The 19,629-nt window shown below is 44.1% G+C and overlaps 1 annotated feature.

The window, feature by feature from the left end:
- Positions 16,359–16,859: an enhancer, noted in NCBI's record as "H3K4me1 hESC enhancer chrX:52591748-52592248 (GRCh37/hg19 assembly coordinates)". NCBI's record gives its function as "activates a minimal SCP1, AML or CMV promoter by ChIP-STARR-seq in naive H9 embryonic stem cells {active_cell/tissue: H9 hESC(naive)}" and the evidence as "EXISTENCE:reporter gene assay evidence [ECO:0000049][PMID:30033119]".

Below are 19,629 nucleotides of genomic sequence, written 5' to 3'. Positions count from 1 at the left end.
AACTTAGATTTCCACAGGATGTTTGGTGGGTGGGACAAAGTCTACAGATTCTGAGCAGCTGGCAAGTTTCAGGGCACAGGGTAAACACTGACATGTGAGCTCAGATTGCTTTGTGGTTGAGGCCAAATTATTTACTACCTACCATGTTCAGTGCAACTCTCCTGCTTGTCCCATAACATGGGAGCACAGTAGGGAAATGGAGGTCCCCCTGTGAATGGATGCCATAGATGACATTCAGCTATGCTGCAGCCCAGGCAAAGCCTGCATGTGATACCAAGAGGACAAGAAGTCACGTGTATTTTTTGTCCCTTTTGCCTGTGAGTTCCTGTCTGTGCAAGTAAGACTTCACCTGTGCAAAACAGACGCTGATAACTGACAAACATTTCATCAGTAACTGTACCTTTTGTTGTTGTCTTTGTGGCCCATATCAAAGAAGAACTTTTTGTCTAAAAACACTGAATTGCTAAGGAGGTGGACAAAAATGGGTTCTCACGTGTATTTGCATATATTCTATAGCAACATAAGGATGTTCTCTGAAAAGGTTTTAGTCGTTTCTAAACTGGTTTTTAATCCATGGTGGATCATAAGGTTAATGTTGTCAGCCAGCAACAGCATTTTAAAAAAAGGAGATAAAATAAATTACTAAAGAGCATTCACTGCATATAGAATATACAAATACAGTGCACATCCCCATACACATACATATATTTATTTGCGTAGTCAACTATATACAAACTGTGTACTCTTGAAGGGGGAATTAATGAATTTTATGAGTGTAATAGTCAAGAAATTTATTCTTTTCCTTAAAGGTAGAATTTAATATAGCCCCTCAACCCAGAGGCCTGGGTTGAAAGAGAATATTAACTGCTTATTTCTCCTCTATGCTCAGAGAGGCTTATCTGTGTTCCATCATTTCACATTCCTTGAGGCACAGCGAGTTCTTTCTTCCCTCCCTAGCGCGGCTGTGAAGTCACAAGGTTGATAAGCAAATGCTACAAAAACATGTATTCCCAAGGATGTAAGACATGTGGTGCAACAAATGTAAAAAAAAGATTAACTGCCTTTGTTCTTGCTTCCACAAGTACGCTTCCTGCAGCACGTAACTCCCGCCACAAACTACTTAAAAGGTGATTGATCCCTTTGTTCAGGGCTCAGACTTTCTGGACCCTAGTCCGACTGAGCCTGTGATCACCTTAACAATAAAGGGCTCTCCTGAACTCTGTTCTGTCTCTCCCATCTCTCATTTGTCCTGCAACATTTCTGGGGGCTCATCCGGGATTGGAGATGGTAGGTTTTTGTCTCCTTTACCTATGGGCTTGAGCCCCAGGACGCGGGAGATTTGGGACCCTTGGCGCCACTGGGTGAAGTTACCCAGAAGGAGAACGGCTCTCTCGTGTCTTGAAGCCTTCACTTGACAGCGCAAACGGAACCGACTCGGGAGTTGCAGGACAGTCACAGGAGCAGCATGCAGGCAGACTACTGAACCATGCTATATTTGGGCCCTAGGAAAGCCCGTCCCATAAGGACAGAAGGGGAGCCTGATCACCTCTCAGGGTGCGGCGATTAGTCCTACTCTAGAGAGCAATCAACGGGAGGGGCCTGTTGACTCAGACAAAACTCACGCCCAGATTGGCATTGGGCATGAACAAAGTTCATGAGCCAGTCTCAGGACACTGGTTCTTGGGAGAAAGGGGGAGGTGTGTGAAAAAGCATGAAAGAGACAGTCTTGTGAGAGGCCAATGCGGGGAGTGATGTTGGGAGGCATAAGTCTCTCAGCGCAGACTGTGTCCTCGGAAGTGAGTGTGGGACGAGCCAGACCTAGGTCGCTGCATAAGGCCGACAGGATCAGGTTTATACCTTCACAGCAGTAGTTGGCTGTGACTTGGCCAAGCAGCATCTGAACCTCCCATAATAGGACCTGGTCTGGTGACTCTGAGAGTGAAAGTGAGAGTGAAAGTGCACCGAAAGGGAAGAAATGGGAGGAAATGCATGGAAGCCAGCTCCATCAGAATGTATGTTGAAGAACTTTAGGAAAGGCTTTGATGGTGATTATGGAATGAAGTTAACACCACAGAGGCTGAGAACACTTTTTGAAATTGACTGGCCCTCTTTTAATGTAGGGTGGAACTGCCGAGGGAACCATAGATAGGGAAACAATTGGCCGAGTGTTCTGGGTGGTAACCAGAGTCGGGGAACAACCTGGGCACCCTGATCAGTTTCCACATATAGACTCCTGGCTGAGCGTAATTCAGAACCACCCAAAATGGCTACAGGCCTGCTTTGAAGATGATTGTAAGACTTTAGTGGCTCATGCAAATCAGGGCACTGTAGAACCCACAAAGCGCTGTCTCAGGAGAAGGAGCAGCAAGGAAAATGAGAAAAACCTGTCCTACAAGCCCCGCCCAAAGAGTTGGAAACTCCACCCCACTACATTCCAATCTACCCATCTCTGGAGAGGCTTAGGCAAGAGGCTGCTCCGGTAGCCACCTCTGGAGGGTTGGATTCATAAGAGAGTACTCCCCAAACTTCCCCATAGTGGGAAGGACTGGAACCACTGCCAGATAAATCAAAGGAGGAGTTTCAGGACGGGGCAGGCTGGCTCTGGTCCGGACGTGCCCGAGCCACGCAAATGCCCCTCCAAGAGACCAGAGGGCAAATCTATTTAGACGCACAAAATGAAGTTCAGGGAGGGGAGCAGATTTATGTCTATCAGCCCTTGTCCACTACTGACATTTTCAATTGGAAGCAACATACTCCCTCCTATACGGAGAAGCCCCAGGCTCTCATTGACCTAATGAAGTCCATCCTTCTAACCCACAACCCAACTTGGGCAGACTGCAAACAACTTTTCCTGTCACTGTTTAATACAGACGAATGCTGCCAAGTAATACAAACGGCTCATCAGTGGCTAGAGAGCAATGCCCCTGTGGGCACAGCCAATGTTAAGCAGTATGCGCAGCAGGCTTTACCAACTGAAATAGAGCCTGGCTGGGACCCAAATCAGGCTCAAGGACTGCAGAACTTGTTGAGATATCGAGAAGTGTTAGTACAAGGAATAAAAGCTGGAGGGAAAAAAGCAACAAACATTGGAAAAGTCTCAGAGGTCCATTAAAAACCAGATGAAAGCCCCAGTGAGCTCTGTGAAAGGCTTTGTAAGGCTTACCGGCTCTACACGCCATTTGATCCGGAAGCAGCAGGGAATCAGTGCATGGTTAATGCAGCATTCGTAAGTCAGGCACAGAATGACATAAAACGAAAGCTGCAGAAATTAGAAAGGTTTGAGGGTATGAACATATCCCAGTTAATCCAGGTGGCAACCAAGATTTATGTGAATTGGGATGAAGAAGCTAAGAGGGAAGCCAAGTGTAGGGCAAAGGAGAAGGCAGAGTTTTTAGCCGCAGCTTTGGTTGAAAGAGAAGCCAGATTTGCAAGAGGGCATGGACATGGTCAAGGATGTGGTCAAGGTAGAGAACAAGCTAGGTCAGGCCAGAAGGCCAGGACAGGTCAGGAAGGACAGCCAAGACTAGAGAGATATCAATGTGCCAGGTGCAAGCAAAGAGGGCATTGGAAAAATGAGTGCCCAGAGAAGGGAAAAGATAAAGGCAACAACCAGGGACGGAATGGCTGGATAGGACCTCCTTCTGCCACTGAACAGGACATAATAGGAGCAGACATGGATCTAACTGGGCTGGCAGGAGCCAACGATTATCTTGAGGACTGAGACAGACCAAGCTCCATTTCACTGGGCCCCGAGGAGCCTATGGTCTCAATGGTAGTAGGGGGCCAAAAAACAGACTTGATGATAGATACAGGTGCTGAACACTCGGTTGTGACTCAGACAATTGGACCGTTATCAAAGGACTATGTGAACATTATCGGAGCCACAGGTACCACAGAAAAGACACCTTTTTTCAAATCTAGGAGGTGTATGATTGGGAACCAAGAAGTCCAACACAAGTTTTTATTTTGCCAAATTGCCCAGTGCCACTATTAGGAAGAGACTTGCTACACAAGTTGCAGGCTCAGATCTCCTTTACACCCAGTGGAGATATGACCTTAAGCCTAGGACTGAAAGAGGCTATGGTATTAACACTCACTATTCAAAAAACAGAGGAATGGAGGCTTTACGAAAGCAATTGTCAAGAATGTGGAAAGAGATACACTGTAGCTAAAGGAGAAAAACTGTTTACAGATCTGCTCCTTAAATTGCCAGGTGTCTGGGCAGAGGACAACCCCACCGGGCTAGCAGTGAATAGAGCACCTGCGGTAGTAGAGTTACTGCGCAGAACCTATCCAGTGCGGATTCGCCAATATCTCATTCCCATGGAGGCCTATTGGGGAATTGAAAAACATTTAAAAAGACTCCTTGAGTTCTGGATAATAGAAGAATGTACCTCCTCCTGGAATACCCCCTTGCTGCCAGTGTTAAAACCGTCTGGTGACTACCAACCTGTACAAGACTGAAAGGCAGTCAACAAGGTGGCGGCTACACAGCATGCTGTTGTACTTAACCCGTATACTATGCTTGGACAAATGCCTGCTAGTGCTGCTTGGTTCACATGCCTGGACATAAAAGATGCATTCTTTTGCATTCAGTTAGCCCCTATGAGCTGAGACATCTTTGCTTTTGAGTGGGGACCACCTCAGTATACCTGGACTAGACTTCCCCAAGGATTTAAGAACTCCCCTATCTTTGAGGAAGGGCTTGTCTCAGACTTGAAGGCTTTCACGCCACCTAGTGACCGGTGTATCTTACTGCAATATATTGACTATTTATTGTTGGCCGCACCCACTAGAAAGGAATGTATCGAAGGGACAGAGAATCTCCTTTGAGTGTTGTGGGAGGCTGGCTATAAAGTGTCTAAGAAAAAGGCACATATCTGTGGCCAAGGAGTTCAGTACCTTGGTTTTCCTATTCCCCAAGGGCGGCGTGAGCTTGTGCGAGAGCGAAAAGAGACTGTGTGTAGCATTCCTTGGCCAGACACGACACTGGCATGTACGGGAGTTCCTTGGGGTGGCTGGTTTCTGCCGTATATGGATCCCCAACTACTTGCTCTTAGCAAAACCTTTATATGAGGCTACCAAAGTGGGGATAAAGGAGCCCCTCCTTTGGGGAAAAGAACAGGACATGGCCTTCAAGGAAATCAAGAAAGCTTTAATTCAAGCTCTGGCACTCGGGTTGCCAGACTTGACAAAGCCCTTTTATCTGTATGTTCATGAAAGAAAGGAGATGGCCACAGGAGTCTTGGTGCAAATGTTAGGGTCATGGTATCTACCTGTAGCATATCTGTCCAAGCAACTGGACTGGGTGGCCACAGGATGGCCGCCCCGTTTCAAGGTGCTGGCTGTCACTGCTCTGTTAGCTGAGGATGCTAACAAGCTCACTTTTGGACAGAAGTTGATAATTCAGGTGCCCCATACAGTTGTCACCCTGATGGAACAGAGAGGAGGACATCGTTGGCTCTCTAACCCTAGAATGCTGAGATACCAATGGCTCCTGTGTGAAAATCCATACATCACCTTAGAGACTGTAAACACCCTAAATCTGGCTACACTTCTGCCAATAGAATATGCAGAGCATGGGAAGCCCCCGTTATGTGCCCCAGGGTATCATTGCTGTGTAGAAACAGTAGATGAAGTCTTTTCAAGCCGGAAAGACCTAAAAGACCAGCCCCTAAAGGACCCAGACATAGAGTATTTTACTGATGGAAGTAGCTTCATATCCGAAGGTATCAGAAAGGCTGGATATGCAGTAGCCACACTGAACTCAGTCGCTGAGGCCTGCCCTTTACCAGTAGGAACCTCTGCACAGAAGGCAGAACTAATAGCTCTCATAAGAGCGCTACTTCTAGCAAAAGGAAAGTCAGTGAATATCTATACTGACTCAAAATATGCCTTTGCTACCTTGCATGCTCATGGAGCCATCTACAAGGAGAAAGGACTGTTAACTACTGAAGGGAAAGAAATAAAGAACAAAAAAGAAATAGAGCAGCTCCTAGAGGCAGTATGGACTCCAAAGAAAGTAGCATTAATTCATTGTAATGGACATCAAACAGGAGGAAGTAATGAGGCTACAGGAAACAGGAAAGTAGACAGGGAAGCAAAAAGGGCTGCAATAACAAAAATGACAGAAAAAAGAGAGACTTATGTCATGCCCTTATTAGAACCTCCCCTTGCAGAAACTCCTAACTACACCTCCAGTGAAAAGGCATGGTTCGCACAGGAAAACGGGGATTATCAAAGAAAGGAGGCTGGTGGAAGTTTTCAGACGGGAGGCTTGCCATCCCAGAAGCCGTCGCCCCTCGACTTATAAAGCAACTTCACCAAGGAACACAGATAAGGAAGACAGCCTTAGAAACTCTTGTAGGGTGATACTTCTTTGTACCACACCTGACTGCCGTCACAGGAGCCATCTGCGAGCAATGTGTCATATGTGCTCAAAATAACCCCAGACAAGGGCCCACTCGGCCCCCAGGAATTCAAGAAACAGGAGCAGTTGCCATGTGAAAACCTGCTTGTAGAATTTACCCAGCTGCCTTGGGCTGGAGACTATCAGTACATGTTAGTGTTAGTCTGCACCTTTTGAAGGTGGGTTGAAGCATTTCCCACCAGAACAGAGAAGGCTCGAGAAGTAACCAGGATACTACTAAAAGACATTATTCCTAGATTTAGACTGCCACTAACTTTAGGCTCAGATAACAGACCAGCCTTTGTGGCAGAAGTAGTGCAGCAGTTAACCCAAATGTTAAACGGAAGCTGCGTACTGCCTATCATCCACAGAGTTCCAGAAAAGTTGAAAGGATGAACCAAACACTGAAACAACTGTGGAAGAAGTTTTGCCAGGAAACTCATTTAAGGTGGGATCAGGTGTTGCCAATGGTCCTTCTCTGAGTCAGGTGTACCCCCACTAAATTAACTGGGTATTCACCCTATGAGATAGTGTATGGCCGACCACCCCAACTCATAGCTCAAATAAGAGGAGATTTAAAAGAAATAGGAGAACTAACTCTAAGGAGACAAATGCAGGCATTAGGTGAAGTAATGCAAGAAGTACAAGGGTGGGTAAGACAGAGAATACCTGTTAGTCTTACAGATGCAGTACAACCCTTTCAACCCAGAGACTCTGTATGGGTTAAACGTTGGAACCCCATCACCCTCAGGCCTTTATGGGATGGCCCCCATGTTGTGATCATGTATCGGGGGAAATTCAGCCAGATATCAGGCGAAATTCACCCCCAATATTTCACGTAGTTTCTTTTCTATTTTCCCTAAGTGTCAGCCGGTCTGAGAAATAAAGGGACAGAGTACAAAAGAGAGAAATAAAGGGACAGAGTACAAAAGAGAGAAATTTTAAAGCTGGGTGTCCGGGGGACACATCACATGTCAGCCGGTTCCATGATGCCCCCTGAGCCGTAAAACCAGCAAGTTTTTATTAGTGATTTTCAAAAGGGGAGGGAGTGTACAAGGCGAGGTCACAGGACCACAGGACCAGGGCGAAATTAAAATTGCTAATGAAGTTTTGGGCACGCGTTGTCATTGATAACATCTTATCAGGAGCCAGGGTTTGAGAGCAGACAACCGGTCTGACCAAAATTTATTAGGTGGGAATTTCCTCGTCCTAATAAGCCTGGGAGCGCTACAGGAGACTGGGGCTTATTTCATCCCTACAGCTTCGACCATAAAAGATGGCCGCCCCCTGAAGCGGCCATTTTAGAGGCCTACCCTCAGGGATGCGTTCTCTTTCTCAGGGATGTTCCTTGCTGAGAAAAAGAATTCAGTGATATTTCTCCCATTTGCTTTTGAAAGAAGAGAAATATGGCTCTGTTCTGCCCGGCTCACCGGCAGTCAGAGTTTAAGGTTATCTCTCTTGTTCCCTGAACATTGCTGTTATCCTGTTCTTTTTTCAAGGTGCCCAGATTTTATATTGTTTAAACACACATGCTCTACAAACAATTTGTGCAGTTAAAGCAATCATCACAGGGTCCTGAGGTGACATACATCCTCCTCAGTTTACGAAGATGATGGGATTAAGAGACTAAAGTAAAGATAGGCATAGGAAATCACAAGGGTATTGATTGGGGAAGTGATAAGTGTCCATGAAATCTTAGCAATTTATGTTCAGAGATTGCAGTAAAGACAGGCGTAAGAAATTATAAAAGTATTAATTTGGGGAACTAATAAATGTCCATGAAATCTTCACAATCCATGTTCTTCTGCCATGGCTTCAGCCAGTCCCTCCATTCGGGGTTCCTGACTTCCCACAACAATCATGTCTACCCCTACCACTGTTAAAGTTGCAGGTATCACACCTTGGGTTCATCATAGCCTGCTGAAACCTGCAGCCCCAGCTCCAGACTGGTGGACAAGTAAGCAAGATCCAGATAATCCAGCTGGACTGATCTTGCAGAAAGACCAAGGTGCGTCAGAGAAGGACGACTGCCCTGCTCCGACCACACTGGAGGCTGGTCGGTCCATGTATGGCTGAAGCTTGAAGAAACACCAAACCTTGCTCTAGTCACACAACCGGAAGCTGAGTAGTCTACACATGGCCGAAGCCTGAGGAAGCCAGTGCCAGATAAGTAAATGTGGATAGAATTTGCCAGTGTAGTTATTCTTTTGCTTGTACTAATTGTCTTACTGTCATGTTACCTTTGCAATTGCTGTCGAACTTGCTGCCCAGGAGGATGCCCGTGCATAGTCTAAACCTGATTGTACTAGTAGCAAAAATGCTAACAGCTGTCCAAGGAAACCAAGATAGTTGCCATCACTGCATGATGGATGCTTGGTCTGAAAAAGGCATAACTAAGACTCTGATATACCAGACCTACTATGAGTGCACAGGGACTCAGGTAGGAACTTGTGTTTATAACCAAACCAGCTACTCTGTTTGTGACCTGGGAAATGGGCAGCCTCAAATCTGTTATGATCTGGAATCCCTGCCCTACGATTTCTGGCTTGAAATCCGAATAGGGGAACCCTTGTTGCCATCATATACGAATCCAATAGACACTGGAGTAGGGAAGCTTGTAACCAAAACAAAGGTATTTCCTTTTTCACACAGAGGGCCTGTCTCAATATATTTTGATGCCTGCCAAGCTGCACATCTTAGCAAGTTGAACAATCTAGGAGTGGTCTGTAGGGATCTAGGCCAGGAAAGAATCAGCAGCAAAGCTGCTAAGATCTTAATGGGAGAAACAGAAAAGGATTGTCTTGACTGTCACAGTCAATGGACTACCCACGAGTTCAGTCAGCACCTTTACCCAGGAAGAGTGGCTTTGTTTGCCTGCCTGAAAGCCAAAATTGGGTGCACAACCCGAACATGCAACCCCCTCAATCTGACTATACTGAAACCAAATATGCCTTTCTGGACTAACGGACATAAAGGACTAATGGGCTTTAACCAGGAAGGAGCAAACCAAGGGATTCCGAATGTAATTATTAAAAAGACTCAACGAGCTAAAGTTCAAGTTAACCCAATGCAGCAATTCAGGTTTTATAAATTCCTTATTAAGCATTTCGACCCCAAAGAATCAAAGATTCAAATTCCACCAATAACAGCAGAAAATCTGTTTGCTCAACTAGCTGAAAGTATTGCTACTAATCTTGGGGTCACATCACGTTATGTTTGTGGAGGTACAAATATGGGAGATCAATGGCCTTGGGAAGCCAGAGAATTAATGCCACAAGATAATTTTACCATACCAGAATTTGTTACAAAATTCAATGCCAACCCAAGTGTTTGGCTACTAAAGGCCCCTATCATTGGGAGATATTGCATAGCACGATGGGGAAAAAAACTTTCAAACTCAGGTAGGGGATACAACTTGTTCACATCAACAATATTTCGAGGAATCAGAAAATAAGACCCAGGAGAGAAGTTGTACAGATAATTCCTCTGTGCTGGATTTCAATCCCCTCTCCCAATTTCCAGTGTTAAATCAGTCATGGTATCAGCTGGATGTCCCAAATATTTGGAAGGCACCAGCAGGACTATACTGGATCTCTGGGACAAAGGCCTACCAACTATTGCCTGAAAATTGGATCAGAGCCTGTGTATTAGGAACAATAAGACCATCTTTCTTCTTACTCCCATTAACCCAAGGAGAAGATTTAAGTTACCCAGTCTATAACAAAGAAAGGAAAAGGACCAGAAGAAATGTCTCTACCCAGATAAGTACCGCCAAAAAGGTAAACACAAACATAAGAAAAGACATTGAAATAAGAAATTGGAAAGACAATGAATAGCCTCCAGAGAGGATCATAAAATATTATGGACCAACTACGTAGGCCCAAGATGGGTCATGGGGTTACCATACTCCTATATACATGCTGAACTGAATTATAAGATTACAAGCGGTACTAGAAATTATAGTCAATGAGACAGCTCGAGCCTTAGATTTGCTAGCTATACATGCCACCCAAATGAGGGATGCCATATACCAAAATAGGCTAGCGTTAGACTATCTCCTAGCCTCCAAAGGAGGAGTTTGTGGCAAACTAAATTTGACCAACTGTTGCTTACAAATTGACAACAATGGAAGAGCTGTTATGGAAATTACTGCTAAGATGTGAAAGTTAGCCCATGTCTCAGTGCAGACCTGGTCCAGATGGAGCCCAAATACACTTTTTGGAGGATGGTTCTCATGGCTTGGAGGCTTTAAAACTCTAATAATCGGTTTTATAGTCATAACTGGAGGATGCCTAATACTGCCTTGGCTTTTACTTCTTCTCATCAGAAGCATCCAATCCACCACTGAAGCAGTAGTAGACCGGACGACTACCACCAAACTAATGGCACTGCAAAAATACCAATCAGTCCCTCAAGAAGAATATGAGCCTACACCGGAAGACATAAACGACTGTGGTGCCCTTTATTAATCTGCATGTATGGCAAGCACCAAAGTGGGGAAATGAAGGGGGAATTAATGAATTTTTTAAATATAATAGTCAAGAAATGTATTATTTTCCTTGAAGGTAGAATGTCATATAGCCCCCCAACCCAGAGGCCTGGGTTAAAAGAGAATATTAACTGCTTATTTCTCCTCTATGCTCAGAGAGGCTTATCTGTGTTCCATCATTTCACATTCCTTGAGGCACAGCGAGTTCTTTCTTCCCTCCCTAGCGCGGCTGTGAAGTCACAAGGTTGATAAGCAAATGCTACAAAAACATGTATTCCCAAGGATGTAAGACATGTGGTGCAACAAATGTGAAAGAAAGATTAACTGCCTTTGTTCTCGCTTCCACAAGTACGCTTCCTGCAGCACGTAACTCCCGCCACAAACTACTTAAAAGGTGATTGATCCCTTTGTTCGGGGCTCAGACTTTCTGGACCCTAGTCCGACTGAGCCGGTGATCACCTTAATAATAAAGGGCTCTCCTGAACTCTGTTCCGTCTCTCCCATCTCTGATTTTCCCGCAACACTCTCATGCATTGTAATAAAAGAGTTTGGATGTCAGTACTTTAGCGGTTGTCAGACAAGATATTTACAGGCCATTTCTGTTAGCCATCTGTGAAGATGATGGATTAAGACTTGCTCAGAATAAGTTCACTCTTGTCTGTAGCTTTCTACCTAAGGCTTGAAATGGCATTCAGTGATATTTAAATCGGTCAGTTTTACTGTAGACATTTGACCCTCAGCAAACTCATTTGTGAACTCATGAGCTGGTGAGAAGGATGGCTGATGAGTTGTGGGGCTTTACTTCCTACCATGTCTTTCCGCAGCTGCAGGGTGTGTTCATGTGTGTGCCTCTGCACTAGTCTGATGGTGCTTTGATATGTTCCCTTTTATTTCCCCCTTTATTATTGACTGTGTCTTATGGGTCCATTATGTACTTCATTAGCATCCAGTGACAGCGACATCTGTGGTATTCAGTGTTGATCAATTTTACATGAATTTTAAAATTATTTTGAAGCATGAATATTTTTCCTTACCAACTTTCCTTAAGTACTGTAAGCAGTCCAATGCAATTCAATATTAGTAATTACTGGGCTATAATCCTGCTAAATCACTAATCATACTAACTGTTATTACACCTGAGCTTTTATGTCACCATACTGCTTTGATAAATGACATAATGACAAACACATGGAAAGAGGGATTCTGAGATACTGACTTTTTTATTTCCAAAATTTATATTAAGTTCAGGGTTACGTGTGCAGGATGTGCAGATTTGTTACATAGGTAAATGAGTGCCACCATGATTTACTGCGCAGATCATCACATCACTCAGGTATTAAGCCTAGCATCCACAAGCTATTCTTCCTGATCCTCTCCCTCCTCCCACCCCCGCCCTCCAGTACGCCCCAGTGTGTGATGCTTCTCCCGTGTGTCCATGTGTTTTCATCATTTAACTCCCACTTATAAGTGAGAAGATCCGGTATTTGGTTTTCTGGTCCTGCATTAGTTTGCTAAGGATAATGGCCTCCACCACTGTCCACGTCCCTGCCAAGGACATGATCTCTTTAGTTTTATGGCTGCATAGTATTCCATGGTGTATATGTACCACATTTTCTTGATCTGGTTTATCATTGATGTGATGAACATATCAAATATCACAAAGACACTTGATACGTGCTGTGGGAAATATCGCACTATGTTGGGGCAGAAAGACAAACAGAAGACCAGTTGAAGTGCAAAGGAGAAACATAGAGAAGGGAACCAGAGGAATAAAAAACAATGTAGTGACCACGAGGTGGGAGAAAACCAACATCATTTATTTAAAAAAAACTTTCTCCTTTGCCTTTTCCCCTTCTCTGAAAATCAACTTATTATGTCTGTGAGTCTATTGCTGGACTCTATTCTGATCTGTTGATTTTCCCCAAATGCCACACTGTCTTGAATATTGGAGAAGTAACACAATTGCCATATGGGGCTGGATGATTAAAAATCATAATCAACAACTACATACAATTCTCCTAACTCAAGGGAGCACCCTCACCTCAGCTCGGGATGCCATGCCTCCCCTCTTCTCAGGGGCTTTACTCCTGCAGTGATCACTCCTCTCTCCTGAACCATCAACGGCTCCCTCTATATTAGATCAATCCCCAAGCTAAGAGAGAACTCCACTTCTTCCCATTCATTGAGAACATAGTCAATCAATCAATAAAATAGAATTAATGTGAATTTTGACATCATGTACGGTGAATACCCCAAAGTTATACTTCAGAATTGTTTTGGATATTGTGGTTCATTTTCCTTTGTAGATAATATGAGAACGGACTCCAGTGAAGTGTGATGCTTAAGTTCATGCAGTTTTCCTTTGCTGGGCAGCAGATACATGTGTTGGTACTTACAAAAGGACATGGGGGAAGAAGGTGAGTTTTCCCTTAGCTTGGGGAATGATCCAACGTAGAGGGAGCAGTCGATGGTTCAGGAGAAAAGAGTGATCATTGCAGGAGCAAAGCCCCTGAGAAAGTGGGAGACATGGTATCCTCACCTGAGGTGAGGGGGCTGGCTCCAGTCAGGAGTATTGTATGCAGAAGGGCAGCAGAGAATGCCAGGGAATCACTGAAGGTGAGGGTGGCCTTGAGGATCCCTGACACAGTGGCAGCAACAGTGTGATTCACCAGCAATACCCTGGCTCACTACAATATGGTGAAAACCTTGTTTGAATAAAGGAAGTGTGAAGGGATACAGAAGATGAAGTTGTCACTCCTTTGAGACTATGGATTTCCCCATAGTATGAAGCACCAGCTGAGCTGTTGTCTATTATGAAAAATACATGTACTCACAGCATTTAACAATAATCCCTCCAGCTGCAAGAGAACTGGCTCACTGGATCTCTTAAACGCTGTTCTGCACAGGATAATGTATGAAGGAAAAGTGCAGCCTGGTGCTGACTTTAATTTTTGTTTTCTCCTGTAGGCATGTAGAGAAAGGACGCAATTGTTGCCAAAGAACTTTCAGTAGGCCAAAAACCCTGACGTATGAATTGCTCTTTCCTGCAAGCAGGAGGGAAAAAACCAGTCTCCTGGACTGGAGCAAGGATTTAGATAAACCTTAAGCCTTATATAAAGGGAGAAGAGTGAGGAAAAAAAAAAGGCGACATGAGGTGGCTCACATCTGAAATCTCAGTATTTTGGGAAGCTGAGGGAGGAGAATCACTTGAGGCCAGGAGTTCAAGGCCAGCCTGGGCAACATAATGAGACCCCTGCTCTTCACAATTTTCAAAATTAGCTGGGCATCATGGCACGTGTCTGTAGTCCCATCTACTCAGGAAGGTAAGGCAGCAGGATCGCTTGAGCCCAGGAGTCCTAGGTTGTGGTGAGCTGTAAGTCCTCCAGTGTACTCCACCTTGGGCAACAGAGAGAAGCCCTGTTTCAAAAGGGCGATGCGGGTGTGTGAAGACACATTCCAGCCTTGTCATCAGCTGGGCTGCCACTGCTGCAGCACCCCACCACCCACAAAAAAAAATTTGAGGCAGGATCTCTCTTGGCCATGATACTTGTAACTCTGTGAATGGTGAATTTAGTGATAGGGGTTTGATGGAAATTACAATGAGATTAAAAGAAAAAAAAAGAAAAACAGGTACAGTTGTAAAATGGCTTTGCATTTTGTGGCCACTACATCTGAATGTATGATATTGATGGAAGGGTTCCAGAAGTTTGACTAATTAATGCAGCTGTCACAAGCAAGGAATTCATCTTTTCTACACTTCTCACTGGATAAGTGATGTAGACAAAAGGGATGGAGGTAATGTAAACTGATTTTTACAATTTTTATAAATTCAGGATTTCATCCTGACCATTTCTTAAATATGATGAGTCTTTTCACTAAATTTATATCATAATGTGTTTTTCTGAAAATGTTTTGTTCCATCTGCATACAACCCTTCCAGGAAAAAAAAAAGGTCTAGAGGAAAAAAACTGGATGATTAAAGAGATGAAAACTTTTCATCACAGAATACTACATGCTGATTTTGTAACAATGGAGAAAATAGAAAACCTGGCTCAGGAGGAGAGGCAAGGGAGGGAAGGAGGACATCGCTTGTCTCTGTTTTTCAAAATGGTTCCTGGAAACTCTCCACTTTCCTTCAAGAAATACTTCCCACGCAGGCTTTCCAAGTCACTGTGAGCCAATGTTGAAATCACACAGAGTTACCTTACAGGTGATTACCTTACAGGTATTAAGGGAAATCAGTTACCAGTGGAGAAGTATAAATATGCGTTAACACAACCTAAAGAATGGGTACAGATGTGAATTGATTGAGTCTACAGAAGTAGTTAATTACATTGTATGCATGGTAGAAAACCCAGAACCAGAGGAGAAAGTGACTAATCAAAGCATGTATAAAAGTTGGCCAAGATGGGAGGATCACTTGAGCCCATGTGTTTGAAAGCCACCTGAGCAAACAGTGACACCCCGCATCTAAAACAATAACAATTTAATACATTAGCTGGGCCTGGTGGCGTCTACCTGCAGTCCCAGCTACTTGGGAGGCAGCAGCTTGAGGAGGATGGCTGGAGCCCAGGAGATGGAGGCTGCAGTGAAGCATGGTCATGCCACTGCCCTCCTGCCTGGAGGGCAGAGCAACACCCTGAGAAAAAAGTATGTGTAAATGTAGACATACAAGTCTTTATTTCTGTCACAAAGGTCTTTCTGAGACACATCCTCCACTAAGGGTGACATGGGACTCTCTGTTCCCAATGTTTCTGGATGCATGAGAATGTTTGGGCAAGAGACAAAAAAAAAAAAAAAAAATCTCGTGTCTCTTTCTACTACAAACACCACCCTGGGGATGTGGGCCTGGGGACAGTGGGAAAACCCTGGCTGTCACTGCACGTGCCTGATTGTGTGCACGTCCTTTGTTGCCCAGGTGCCTTGTCTATTTGCCTCCTGTCCCTGTAGAGCTATGCAAGGAGACATCGTGACTTCCTTCTGTGTTGCTAAGAGTCAGCCAGTAGGTCCACAGATCAGTACTCCCAGAGTTGAAGTGTGAGAGAGTGTGAGAAGGAGCCTGCGGGCACGGTCCATGGCCTCCTAGGGGGAAGGGCCTTGAGGTCCCTGTCCTTCTACTAACAGGCGACAAAGGAGCTACGGCCTTGCTGTCGTGCAGGGCCTGGACAGGAGGAAGGAGGTCCATAGAGAGAAGGAGGGCCTGATGAAGATGGAGTGCATTTTGAAGGGGAAAACTATTCGTAGTATTTCAGTTCCGGAGGCATATGAAACCGCCCACGGAGGGCACATTTGAAGTCCACAGTGGTGACCTGGGGCAGGGGGCAGGCCTGCAGAGTGGGGGATGAGGTGAGGCAAGGCAGGGCACCACAGCCCACAAGGCAGGTACCGACTTCCCTGCCCATGCTCCTGGGGCCCCTGCCTCAGTGCGCATGTTCACTGGGCATCTTCCAGTCGGCCCCTTTGCCACGTGGTGAATGTCGCAGAGCTGTGAGGGTGTGAGGGTCACTTTCTCCCACTACTGAGATGCAGTCCGTAGGTCCACAGACCAGCCCTCCCAGGAGTGGAAGTGTGGGTGAGTGTGAGGAGGGGAACGTGGCCTTCCAGAGCATGGGGCAGCATGGTCCTTGGCCTCTCAGGGTGAAGGGTCATGAGGTGATTGTCCTTTTCCTCGTGTGTCGGCACCATCACAGGCATTGTTATGGTGGGTTCAGAACAAAGGAGAAAGGTGGGCCATGGACTTCAGGGGGATCAGGTGAAGATGGGGAGAGTGCTGGGGGCCCTGTTGAAGGTATCCGAGGCCCACAAGGGCCTGGAACACCTGAGAGATGACAGATTCCAGGCTCACCGTGAGGGACCCCAGAGAGGGCCAGGTGGGAGATAAGGAAGGGGCCTGGAAACTCAGAGCACCGCAAGTTGTTGATGGCAGCTCCCAGGTCTGTAGGAGCACTCAGGGATGCGTCTCAACTTGTCTACTCCACCGTAGAGGTTCGAATGGATGGGGCTCTGCATTCCAACAAAACTCGATTTTAGGGGAGAAATGGGACTAGCAAATGGTTGTGTGACAAAAGCCGTGGCCACTGCGGTTTTAATTCACTAGCTGTATATTTCTATATGTCTTTATGTGGAAGGTCCAGTTTTGAAACCAACCTCATCGGAAATACCCTGTGTCATTTGCCAAGAGCCTTAAGACATTGCTCAGCTAGCTTGACCAATGTAATGTGCAAGCATTTCATTCAGAAGGCAAACAAACTTATACTTGCCCTAGGACTTATATTCAAAGTCTTACCAAATTTTTAAAAAATTACAAGTTGAAATTTGGCTATGGAAGTGGTCAAATATAGCTATCCTGTCAAGTGCATTTTCCCCATCACAGTTTCCTGTTCGCACTGTGAAATATGAATTGGCTAGGAAGATCAACATATAGGCCTAGACCAAGATGATATGTACAACCTCCTGAGCTGATTGGGCCTATGCTTGTGAGTGCCTTGCCATTCAATGCTTTCCATTAGCAGAAATTCCTTTTCATGATAGTGTTGAACTAGTATAGGTACAATGATTAAAGTATCCCATGATTCCACACATTCATCCCAACATAAATTAAAATGGCTTCTGAAGCCCTTGAGGTTAACTCTATTAGAGTAACCTGTCTGTGAAAAGAGTAACTCTATGAACAATTAGTATATGGTATAGTGTTGGAGAAATGTCTTCAGACGTACTTATGATCAACAATATGTATGTATTATATACATTTATATTATTGACATGTAATTGATAACAAAACTTTTTATCTGGACAAACACACACCCCTGTTCCCAGGAGCCCAGTGATAAAGAGCCATGAGAGGAGGAACCACCAGCTGAAAGTCAAGATCCAAAACCTGGTCAGGAGAGAGAAGAATGATCAAGGTGCAGCTGAGATTCAAGGTCCTGGGAAGGGAAAGAAAGAATGTCTATGGGGGGAGGAGGCCTATGTGTGCATCATGCCTTATGCCTTGAGCAGTAACAGGAGGAAAGAAAGCATTAGGAAAGGGTCTCAAATGTTTGCTGAAAGTTGGCTGGAAAATTGATAAGTATAGTTTGTAGTTTCCTGGAGTCCCTGGATATAATGAATCATCTCTTACCTTTGAGATACATTTTCTATGTTGAAAATACTGTCCTTGCTAAATCAGAAGAAACCGTTATAATAAAATGGCAAGTGACAGTCTTATTTCTGTGGCTGATAAGTAGAGAGAATGCACGTAGGTCAGTGATGCTCAAGGTAGGTGTAAGATGCCTGTGCTAAGCATGCTCTCTGCCCTCCTGTCAGTCTTCATGACCTACTGTGTGCAATTAGATAGAAGACACGTATGATACAATCTCTTCCAACCATATCATAGGTTACATTTTACAGGTTTCTGCCTTGAGACCTCAGATGATAGGAATTAAATTTCAAGTATTCTAAGGGTACTAATTCCTGGGTAGTTGACATAAGTATTTTTTACGCATATAATGCCAATTGATGGCTATGAATTAGAAGACTTTCTGATTTTAACTGAAGAACTGCATGTTTAGGGGAGAAATTACCTAAATGTTTTTACTCTACACTGCTGAACCATTTCATTAGACTATTTACATTAAAAGATAGTTTTCAGACGATTTCTGGAAGCATATCGAACAAGCCTCAATTGTATTCTTAGGAAGATCATAGCCTTAAATGCACATGTTACTAAAATAGACAGAAAATTACATGACAAATAAAAATAATACAAAGAAATAAACATAATAGTAGAAGAGCCACAGAACAAACTTATGGGGAGACAGGTAGTGAATAAAAGACAGGTATGAATCATTAGTTGAAGTTATTCATAAGTAATAAATGTACTCTCTACAGAGAATACAGACATATTACGTCTCTACAGAAGTCTAATTCAATATAAGCCATAGAGTGACTCTTAGGCTCCTAGTTTTAGTCCATTGTGTAAAACTAAAACTTCGGTGTCCTTCTCATACCTTTAATTTTATCTGAATACAGTTCTGCTAGTAATGTCCCCTCCTGTTATGTTTCTATTATAGGTGATGGGCAACCACAGTTTTAAATGAAGACAAGCTGAAACAACACAAACTGGTTTTATATTAGATATTTGACTGAAAAATGTCTCAATAAAGTTTTAAGCCTTCTCCAAAGAATTCTTGCACATTTTTTATTCATTTTATTCCCAGGTAGTTAACACTTTTGTAACTTGTGGCCAGGTGCAGTGGCTCATGTCTGTAATCCAGTATTTTGGCATGCTGAGGGAGGTGGACTGCTTGAGCTCAGAGACTGACACCAGATTGAGCAACACAGCGAGACCCCCCCCTGCAAAAATAAATGAATGATTGTATGAATGTACTCATGTCTGTATGTCACTGTAGTCCCAGCTACTCTGGAGGCTTATAAAATGGGTTCTCTAAGAAAAACAGGAATAATAATACCTCACATTTATAGAGTATGTGTTATCCATTAGCCAATTCTGTGAGCTATGTTTCATTGATTCTGACCTCATTTAATTCTTTAATAAGGTGAGTCAGAGTTTCCTAAAATTAACAATAAATGACTCTAGTAAGAAGCAGATATGGGGACTCAAGTTCTAAGTTCACAGTCTGCGCTTTCTTGAAGCAAATGCTTCTGACAGTGTTGAACGTAGAACTGGTGTTGTACATGTTGACTTTCGTGGTAATCACATGATTTCATATAAATCTAGGATAATATATAA

The sequence above is a fragment of the Homo sapiens genome, chromosome X (assembly GCF_000001405.40).
Source record: "Homo sapiens chromosome X, GRCh38.p14 Primary Assembly".
Taxonomy (NCBI): domain Eukaryota; kingdom Metazoa; phylum Chordata; class Mammalia; order Primates; family Hominidae; genus Homo; species Homo sapiens.
The sequence above is the reverse complement of the archived record's forward strand: the minus strand, read 5'-3'. Positions and strand labels throughout refer to the sequence as shown.